Consider the following 9,929-nt stretch of genomic DNA (forward strand, 5'->3'; position numbering starts at 1 on the left):
GTGCGTGCACTAAGTGGGTGCACTGAGGAGTGTGTGCACTGAGGAGGCGTGTGTGCACTGAGGAGTGTGTGCACTGAGGAGGCGTGTGTGCACTAAGGAGTGTGTGCACCGAGGAGTGTGTGCACTGAGGAGGCGTGTGTGCACTGAGGAGTGTGTGCACTGAGGCGTGTGTGCACCGAGGAGTGTGTGCACTGAGCAGTGTGTGCACCGAGGAATGTGTGCACTGAGGAGTGTGTGCACTGAGGAGGCGTGTGTGCACCGAGGAGTGTGTGCACTGAGGAGTGCGTGCACTGAGGAGTGTGTGCACTGAGGAGGCGTGTGTGCACTGAGGAGTGTGTGCACTGAGGCGTGTGTGCACCGAGGAGTGTGTGCACTGAGGAGGCGTGTGTGCACTGAGCAGTGTGTGCACCGAGGAGTGTGTGCACTGAGGAGTGTGTGCACTGAGGAGGCGTGTGTGCACCGAGGAGTGTGTGCACTGAGGAGTGCGTGCACTGAGGAGTGTGTGCACTGAGGAGGCGTGTGTGCACTGAGGAGGCGTGTGTGCACCGAGGAGTGTGTGCACTGAGTGCATGCACTGAGGAGTGTGTGCACACGCATGCCGCAGGACCCTGTGTGCCTTAGCGCAGATGCCCGCCTGCACGTCCGCATGTGTGCCTGCATCCTGCCAGCAGTTGACAGCATCTTGGCATCCCCGGCGTGCGTGGTGTGCTGCCCGGGCAGGTTCCTTCCCCTCTCCGCCGGGGCCCTGGCCCCTTGGGGATGCAGGTCATGTCTGGACACTGAGCTCTACTGGCACTGGGTGGGGGGAGGGCCAGCACCCCCCTCCCTGGACTCCTAGAAGCTGTGGGCAGCCCCCCAGCCGAGGGCCAGGGTGGGCGAAAGGTAGAGAGGACTCCTGCCCAAGTTTGCCAGGCTGGGGCCTCAGGGCACCTCGGTGATGCCCTAGGGACAACCCTGAGTTGGGTACTGAGGGAATCTGGATGGAGCCCACCCCTCAGAGCGGGAGTGGGCGAGAGACGAGAAAGGGAAGGCCCCAAAGCCAGGGTCGAATGGAGTCAGCGGCCGAGGGGGCAGGTGGGCGGGCGGGGTTGGGCGGGGTTGGTCGGGCTCCCAGAGGAGGGAGCTCGAAGGGCCACGGGACTCCTGCGGCCGGGGGCACAGCCTCCCTAGCTGCAGAGTACCTCATCCTCATCCCGGGTCCACCCGCCCCAGTGCTGGCAGGTGGCTGCGGGGCCAGCGGGGATGGGACCTGGCCTGCCTCATCTCATGGTTCCAGTGTCTGTCAGCAGTGAGTTTTGCAGCTGGGGCGGGGACAGGGGGAAGGCGGACAGGAGGCGGGTGCAGGTGGAAAGGACATCTGCCTGGGAACGTGGAGCAGCGAGCGCTCGGCCTGGGGCACCACAAACATCTGGGACCCAGGAAGGGGAAGCGAGACTGTACTTTGAGGGATCGTTTCTATAGGTCACTACTGGAGAAGCGTTTCTGAACGTGCAGAGCATAGAGGAGGAAGCGACCCCCGCCCCATGGTTGGTCGGGGGAGGGAGGAACGTGTGGGGTCGGGTCTCCCAGGCTCCCAGGTGGGCTTCAGCTGACCCCCTGCAGGCCCCCCAACCCCGGTTCGGGCACTGGCTTACACATTCTCAGCTGACCACCCCCCACCCAATTTCTGTCCTGGGAAAAGGGCAGGAGCCATGGACCCAGCCTCTTCAGAGAGGGTGGCCCCAGGGCCCGACCCGGCCTTTTCCCCAGCATCCCACCATTCCTACACCAAGGTTCTGTTGCTTTGGTTCAGCCAGTGCCTCCGAGCTTATGAAGTGTGGGTAGCAGTCACTCACACTCCAGCAAGAACGGTTTGCTTCCATCCTCTGCCAGGGGCCTCCTCAGACCCCTTCTAAATGCCTGGCGCTGACAAAGTGCCCAGAACCACTTATCATCTGTGACTCCTCCCTACTGTGACCTCCACCCCCACCAAGCCTTGGCTTTTCTGTCTCAGAGCCACAGGCCCTGGAGAGCGTGGGGATGGCACCCCTCCCGGGAGGGCCTGGACCCTGTGCCAGGGACTTACTGGCCACTTTGTGTACACTGTAGACTCTACAGCAATTCCTACGATATTCATGCAACATTTTGGGGCCTGCATTTTCTCCCCGTCTTACACCAGAGGAAACTGAGGCCTGGCGAGGCTAAGCTAGCTGCCAGGCCTCCACCTGGGGGGCAGAGGGAGGTTGGAGGTGGGGCTTGCGCCCGGGTGTGCCTGCCTCTAACGTCTGCGCTTCTAGTCATGGCTTTTATTGTCCCCAGTAAAAGAGCCCTGGACTTCGGGCTCTGTCAGGTACTTGGGGCTGCGAGTTGTGAGTTGGGGAAACAGGCCGCCGGGAACCAAATATGCTCCCAGGCTCCACAACCAATGAGGGTGTGGCTGGGATTTGAGCCCACATGCCAGGGGTCCTGGTGGGGTCCAGGGCCTGGCTGGGGCTGGGAGGCGCCGGTGCTTGTGGGAAGACCAGCCAGTGTGGGGCTCTCCTCTGGCCCAGGTGCCTCCAGGCTACTCTGGGTGACCCTGTGACACCCTGCATTCTCCATTCCCCTAGGCCTCAGTTTCCCCACCAGTCAGAAGGCAGAGACACCTCCTTTCCAGTGAGAGCTTAGCCTGAGGCCCAGGGACTCCTCCCAAGGTGGCCCACAGGTGAGCCTCCTGGGGTCTGGAACTCCTTGAGACTCTGAAAATTGGGTGTGAAATGTTGTGCGTTTTTCCAGGGAGACGGCCCATGCTGTGTGTCACAGCTAAGGTGTCTGCTGTCCCCAAAAGAAACCCAAATGGCCATTGCAGAGATGAGGAAGTAGCTGGAGAAGTCGGGGTTAGAGGTGTGGAGGGTGGGGCAGGTGCTGGCTGGGGATGAGGAGAGGAGGAGGGAGGTCTGGGTGCTGGGAGATGCAGGGCCATGGGGGCCGGCAGGTGGAGGGGGTGACTCGTGGGTGGGGCCGAGGGCCATGGTGGGTGGAGGTGCTGGATGGGACGGCTCCGGCAGGAGCTGCCACCTCGCTGAGCTCAGAGACGCCCCAGGCAGGGCTGGGACTTCCTGACGGACTGTGTGTCCGAGCGGCTGGTTGGAGGCCGGGGTGGGCAACGTCCTGGCCCTCGGCGGGGTGGCTCCTGGACAGGATATCCCCGGTCCCACCGCCTGCACTCTCCCATCCCCCAAATCAGCGCTTAGGCGGGGCCTGGGAAGGGAGGAAGGAAGGGAGAGCACTGCCCGCAGGGCGGGGAAGGTTTATCGCCTGGGACTCCAGGCCCTCCCATCAGGAGCCCTCTATGGCGCCCCCGTGCCAAGATCCAATCTCCCCTGCCCAAAAGTCAGCCCCCAAATCTGGGCTCCCCGAAGTCCAGCTTCATCCCAAACCCCTCTGCCTATGAGCACGAGGTGTCCCTCCACCGCACCCTGAACACATGCAGGTCCTCCCAGCTCCGCATCGAGAACTGCCTTCCCCATCGCCTCAGCTGGGACACCATCCATAAAGGGCTGGGGGAAAGCCCCCTCCTCCAGGAAGCCTGCCGTGATAGCCCACCTGCTGGGCTCCACTTGCTTCTCTGACGGATGGCCATGGCCAGGCACATCACCCCCATTTTCAAGAGGAGGGGGTTTCCTGGGGTCTCCCAGCAAGTCAGTGGGGAAGCTGGAAGCCGCCACAGGCTGAGCCCCATGCCTTGGGGCTGCCCCACACAGGCTCAGAGAGGCATCGGACCGGGGGCCTGGGCCTCCACCACTGTCTGCGAATTTCAGCCCAGAATCCCCTGCCCTCCCCCAGCCCCACCCAGGCCACCCTTTCCACGAGGGTGCCCGAGGTTCCATCTCCGGGCTTCCGCCTGCCCAAGCTGTTAGGGCCATGCTGACTGGCTTATCAGCTCCTTCCCCTCCCACCGCCCGCCTGGGGGCCTGCCCAGGCCCAGGGCCCTGCCTCTTCAGGCGCTGCCAGCACACTGCACGTCCAGGCTGGAGGGGACAGCAAGCAGCGCTGGGGCAGGGGAGGGCGGCAGGAGGCTGGAGGCTCTCCATGTACTCACTGCTCCGCTGGCCAAGGGTGCCTGAAGGTGGGAACCAGAGGCCATGGCACCCCAGGACTGGGTGCTGGGTTCCCACAGGGAAGCTAGGTGAGCTCAGGGCCCTCCTGCCTCCCGGGTTGTTCTAAGAGCCTGTGGCCCTCCTGAGATCACGGCGAAAGTGAACTCGGCCTCCTGGGGTCACGGGGAACATGAGCCCGGCTTCCTGTTCTTGGGGCTCACAGGGGCACCGGGGCCTGGGTCAGGAGAGGCCACTCAGTGCTGGGCAGCCGAGGGTCAGCAGGGCTACGGCCAGCAGATTCTCGGGCCTGGAGGCGCCCTGTGCCTCATAGCTGTGGCCACAATTCTCAGCACCCCTGAGGGCTTGCCCAGGCCGCCCGTCTGCTCCATGTGAGAGGAAAGGAGTCCAGGCCGCCTGAGCTGCAACTGCTCAAATCCACGTTCTTCTCGTCATCTCCACGTTTAGTTCTACAGTAACTCATTCATTTCATAAGTGGCACAATATTGGCTCACTGCAGCCTTGACCTCCCAGGCTCAAGAGAGCCTCCTGCCTCAGCCTCCCGAGTAGCTGGGACTACAGGTGCGTGCCACCATGCTAGCTAATTTTTAATTTTTTTTTTGTAGAGATGAGATCTCCCTATATTGTTCAGGCTGGTCTCGAACTCCTGGACTCAAGTGATCTTCCCCGCCCGGACCTCCCAAAGTGCTGGGATTCCAGGCATGAGCCACCGCACCTGGCCCATTTAACAAGTCTTTACCAGGCCCCTAGTGTGTGCAGGCTCTGATCCTCCAACCAAACAAGCCAATCGGGATCGGTGGAGACAGCAGTGGGTTCAGTGCTGGGGCCTCAGGCAAGGCCTGTGCCCAGGCCGGGAGGAGGGCAGAGAGCCAGCGCTGGGCAGAAGGAAACCCAGGAGGCGTGTTCTGGGGGTTTGAGGTCTGTCTGGACACCAGTGTGGCTGGCACCATAGGATCCGGGCCACGTGGGATGTAGAGGGGGAATCCCGTTCCAAGCCCCTCCCCTGGACGGCAGCTCTTGGCTGGGCCCCAGGCAGGACCTGAGGCTATTTCCAACCCGCCAGAGGCAAGGCCCCGGGGCCGGCTGTTTGCCTGAGAGACCTGGGTGACGCCAGCTGCCTGGGTGGCTACAGAGGCACTTTCAAGAGCCAGGCACAGGGACAGAGCTTTGCTCCAGCCTCAGGGGTGCAGCCGTGCTCTGTGGGCCAGGGGAGCCTGCAGCAGGCCTCCAGCTCCCTCCGCCCTGCAGACGCCCAGCTCTGCAGCCTCGTCCCATATCCAGGCCCTCACACTGAGCTGCCTGAAGGCCCCCAAACTCATGAGGCTGCTGGGCCTCTGTCCAGGCTTTCCCTCTGCCTGGAGTGCCCCTCACCCCTGCCCTGGATCACCCAGCGAGTGTCTGTCTCTCTTTAGGTCCAGCTGAGATGTAACCCCCAAACCTTCCCAACAAGGCTGGCACTGCTGGGGTCCCACACCCCACTTTGCTCTCTAAACGGGAGCTGGACACCTGTGTCAGGCTGCTGGGAGACGGGGGCACCCACAAGCCCTGACGTTACCCCGAAGGCCCCTGGGAGGCCCAGGCAGTGGGAAGGGACGGCCTCTGGGAATCCCCCTTCTGCCTGGCCTCCCTCTGTGTGGAGTCATGAGGAGTGGATGGCCCTCGAGGGGAGCCCGTCCAGCCAGCCGCCCTCTTGAGGGAGAAGCCACGTGGCCGTGAAGCTGAGAGGCCCTGCACAGGGACCTGTCCTGCAAGCAAGGCCGGCTCCGCCCTGGGAGTCAGCAGCCACCTTTACTGTACGTGTGAGAGTGAAGCCGCCTCCTCTAATTACACCCCTGGACCTTCTCATCCGCCCCCAGCCCTTCCAACTTCAAAGGCCTCTGGCCCCTGGCAGGGAGGGAAAGTTTCTGGGTGCCTGTGAGTACCCTGCCTCCTTGAGGCAGAAGCGTGGGCTCCATCCAGGCTGAGGTGGCAGCCGGGCCCTTTCTCCCGGGCCTGGGGTGCGGTGGGGCTGCCAGCTGGCAGTGTGGGCAGTGCCCTGGCCTGTGATGCCCCCACCTGCTCGTGGCACTTTTAAGTTGGGTCCATCCTGAGTTTGCCAACTGGCTGCCCTGAGCTGCAACCTTGGCCCTGGTCCTGTCCTCAGGGGGTCCCAGCCAGAGACACACAGAACCACACCCAAAGACCACAGTCTACCCTGCATAGGGGTGGGGTCCCAAAGACCAGAGCTGGGGCAGGAGGGGAGCTGACGGGCAGAGTGGCCCGCGGACGCCCAGGGGCAGCTGGTCTGGACAGGTGTTTGGGGAGGCGGAGCAGAGGGTTCCCAGGCCAGGGACCCAAGGGGGTGGGCCCAGTGGCTAATTCCAGATGGAGCCAACATGCACCAGGGAGGCTGTGCGGGGAGGGCCCGGACAGTGACGCCCCCACGGCTGTAGCATGGAGTCGCCCCGCCCTGCCTTGGCCCCCAGCAGCTGGACAGCTCCGCACAGATCCAGCGGCTGGATGGTTCCCACAAGGCCAGGAGGGAATGAAGGCCGGGTCAGAGCACCTGGGCTGAGACACCAAACAGAGCCACCTGCGTGAGGATACCAGGGTGTGGAGCCTGCTGGTGACGTTAGCAGAGGCCCAACGTCCAGGAGGAGGGAGGTGATTTTCTCTCTCCTCAACAGTCCAAGGCCAACTCACTGGCCCAGGAGGCCTCCCTCACCCCTGACTGCTGAGTTGCTGCTCCCAACACCTTTCTGCCCACATGGTCCTTTTAGAGCTGCCGCCCCCCAGCTAGCCTGGTGCCAGCCAGGGACTGGCAGTTCCCTTCTGCGTCCTCAGCCCAGCCTGAGGACACCTAGAGGAGGTACACAGTCAGCATCAGCTTGGTGGAAACATATTCCCTCCCTCATGGCTTTGTCCTCAAAGAAGGGAGGAAGAATAAAGGAGGGGAGGAGGGAGGGAAGAAGAGAGGGAAGGAGGGAGGGAGGAGGGAGGGAAGGAGAGAAGGAGGAGGGAGGGAAGGAGGGAGGGAGGAGGGAGGGAAGGAGAGAAGGAGGAGGGAGGGAAAGAGGGAGAGAGGGAAGAAGGGAAGAGAGAGGGAAGGGGAAAGGAAGGAGAGGAGAAGGGGGAAGGAGGGGAGAGGAAGGGAGGGAGGAAGGGGGAAGGAGGGAGGTAGGAGGGAGGGAGGGAGGGAAGGAGGGGAGAGGGAAGGAGGGAGAGAGGAGGAAGGGAGGGAAGGAGGGAGAGGGAAAGAGGGAGAGAGGTAAGGAGGTGAGAGGGAGGGAGGAGGGAGGGAAGGAAGGAGGGAAGGAGGGAAGGAGGAGGGAGGGAGGGAAGGAGGGGAGAGGGAAGGAGGGAAGGAGGGAGAAAAGAGCTCAGGAATCCTTTAGCCTTTGAAGTGGCTCCCAGGGGGACAGCCTCACTGTCCCTGCCCCAATTACACAGTTACACAGTAAGAGCACCAATAAAACCTGAGCATTTGATCCCAATTTCAAAGATCTTTGATCCAGCCTGTGCCTCCCCTGTCCCTGTGCCCGGGGCGCCGGGTGGGGCCCAGCCTGGCCTCCCTGGTCCTCCTGCAGAAGCCCCTCCGCATCGCTCTCGGCCGGGTCTGTATCTCTCCTCCCCATCTTCTCTGGATGCTTCTGTGACTCTCTCCTGACTGGGTCTCTCTCCTTCAGTCAGTCTCCCACTGTCTCTCTGTCTCACTGTCTGTCTCTTTCTGTCTCTTTGTCCTCTGGGCACTGGCCCCACTTCCTGGGAAAACAGGAGCTGCGGGGTCTCCTTGTTGAGGGACAAATGCCAAACGGGCCGGGGCCATCTGCTCAGGGGCCCTGGAAAACTGGCCCAAAGCTCCAGCAAATGGCCCTGACGATGGGGCCTTCCCCGCCCCTGCCCTCTGCGGGGCTCTTCCTGGAGAGGCTGTAAAGAGTTACTGAGTGTGTTTCCCCCGGGTCTGTTGCGGGCAGGCGGGGTACCTGGTGGCTGGGGGAAGGGAAGGCATGGCATGCCCCTGCTCTGAGGAGGGCATCCCAGGGAGAGTGGGGGTCTTCTCCCCTGGAATATGGCCCAGACCCCTATCTCAGGAACCTGAGGCCCCCAGGGCAGGGCCAGGCGGGTGGGCGGCCATGGCCAAATAGGGGCTCCAGGCAACTCCCGGTCAGTGTTGCGCGGCCCCTCCCTGCAGCTGCCCCTCCAGGGTGTCCACAGGACATTCCCAGTGCCTGCTGCACCCCCAGCCAGCTGCCCCAAGGTCACATTTCTTGGCAGATAACCCTCCCAGCACCCACTGACTGGCCCCGGGCCCCAGACTTTTCCTGAGCCCCCTCTCCAACCCCCCGCACTTTTTGGGGACCCACTTTCCACCATCACCGCTAGGGACAGGTCGGGCTGGGGGCAGGTCAGGCTCGGAGGGGAGGCCCCTGGAGGAACAGTGGCTCTGAGGGTGAGCAGCTCCTTGGGAAGCACCGCTGTAGCCGGGCCAGAGGACCGCGGCTTCTCTGCCTTTCCCTCGGCAAATCTTTTCCGAGCACCTGCTCTGCCAGGCCTGGAGCAAGTCAGTTGAGGTGCGGAGGAGACTGGGCACTCTCTGTCCCCCAGAGCCCATCTGTGGGGTGGTGGCAGCAGCCACAGGCCTTCAAGCGCTCAGGCCTGGGGCTTGGAGGGTGACCCAGAGGTCTGCGCTGCCTGGAAGGCTGCCGCCCCTGCGCCCTGGGGTACTAGATGGCCCTGGCATGCGCCTTGGAACGAGCGGGTGGCATTGGGGTATCCAATCTCCCCCCGCCCCTCCCTGCGATGCTGCCTCCCTGCCAGAAGTGCTTGCCAGTGGAATTGCCCCTCCCACCGGGCCGGGCAGTGGAGGGCAGAGCTATCAGAAGGCTCCCCAGCCCTCATGGGCTTCAGGGGACAGAGGGACCAGGGAGTCGGGCAGGTTTGGCCAGCTGCCACCTCCCTAAGGCACCTGCAGGGAAGGGCGGCAGTTTCTAGGAAGCCAGCTGGCAGGGTGGTCCTGCCCAAAGGGTTACCGAGGGCTGCTGTGTGGAGTGGGGCTGCAGCTCAGCCAGGCCTGGGGAGGCGATGTGACTGCAGCACTGGAGAGCCCCTGCACAGCCCGCCGCCCTGCGCTCCAGAACCTACCGTCCTCTGGGGCTCCCAGGGCCAGGTGTCGGCTTCACAGCAACAAGGCCCAGGACTTGCATGGGGCGGGGGAGGGGGGTGGGGGGGCGGAGGGGAGGGCGACTTCGGTGTTTTCCAGCATTATTCTAGTGGCCACAGCCCCCAGGCCTGTTTCCTCTGTAAATGGAGATGGCAGCCCACCCCACGGGCGCTGGAGGGGAGCTGACCCTCAGGCCAGTCAGGAGCCCTGTGACGGGACTCGCTGGAGGGCACCCACCCTCGGGACCAGGCTCCCTGGACTCCAAGCCTGCGCCCCCACGTCCACCCTGCTGGTAGGAGGCCTCGGGGTGTGGCCCCTGCCAATGAGCTGCTCCATGAGGCACTGAGCCATTGACCTCTGCCCCAGGCTGTGTGGCCCGAGGCTCAGCGCTCAGCAGTAGATATGGGCATGAGGGGGAGGTCAGGTCAGAGCCGCAGAGCTGGGAACTCAGCGCTCAGCAGTGGACGGTGGGTTCCGGGAGCAGAAAAGGTTCTGGCCTCTCCCTGTAGCCTGAGCTGGGAAGGCGGCCATGGGGGGCAGGTGCGGCCAGGCAGGGGAAGCGGCCATGGGGGGCAGGTGCGGCCAGGCAGGGAGGGCGGCCATGGGGGGCAGGTGCGGCCAGGCAGGGAGGGCGGCCATGGGGGGCAGGTGCGGCCAGGCAGGGGGGGCGGCCATGGGGGGCAGGTGCGGCCAGGCAGGGGGGGCGGCCATGG

At 63.7% G+C, this 9,929-nt stretch overlaps 4 annotated features.

Annotated features, from left to right (window-relative positions):
* Positions 137 to 988: an enhancer, noted in NCBI's record as "H3K4me1 hESC enhancer chr9:139495673-139496524 (GRCh37/hg19 assembly coordinates)". NCBI's record gives its function as "activates a minimal SCP1, AML or CMV promoter by ChIP-STARR-seq in primed H9 embryonic stem cells {active_cell/tissue: H9 hESC(primed)}" and the evidence as "EXISTENCE:reporter gene assay evidence [ECO:0000049][PMID:30033119]".
* Positions 3,603 to 3,783: a silencer, noted in NCBI's record as "fragment chr9:139499139-139499319 (GRCh37/hg19 assembly coordinates)". NCBI's record gives its function as "represses an EF-1alpha promoter that drives an FKBP-Casp9 reporter gene in an ReSE screen in K562 erythroleukemia cells {active_cell/tissue: K562}" and the evidence as "EXISTENCE:reporter gene assay evidence [ECO:0000049][PMID:32094911]".
* Positions 4,389 to 5,238: an enhancer, noted in NCBI's record as "H3K27ac-H3K4me1 hESC enhancer chr9:139499925-139500774 (GRCh37/hg19 assembly coordinates)". NCBI's record gives its function as "activates a minimal SCP1, AML or CMV promoter by ChIP-STARR-seq in naive H9 embryonic stem cells {active_cell/tissue: H9 hESC(naive)}" and the evidence as "EXISTENCE:reporter gene assay evidence [ECO:0000049][PMID:30033119]".
* Positions 6,089 to 6,938: an enhancer, noted in NCBI's record as "H3K4me1 hESC enhancer chr9:139501625-139502474 (GRCh37/hg19 assembly coordinates)". NCBI's record gives its function as "activates a minimal SCP1, AML or CMV promoter by ChIP-STARR-seq in naive H9 embryonic stem cells {active_cell/tissue: H9 hESC(naive)}" and the evidence as "EXISTENCE:reporter gene assay evidence [ECO:0000049][PMID:30033119]".

The sequence above is a fragment of the Homo sapiens genome, chromosome 9 (genome assembly GCF_000001405.40).
Source record: "Homo sapiens chromosome 9, GRCh38.p14 Primary Assembly".
NCBI lineage: Eukaryota > Metazoa > Chordata > Mammalia > Primates > Hominidae > Homo > Homo sapiens.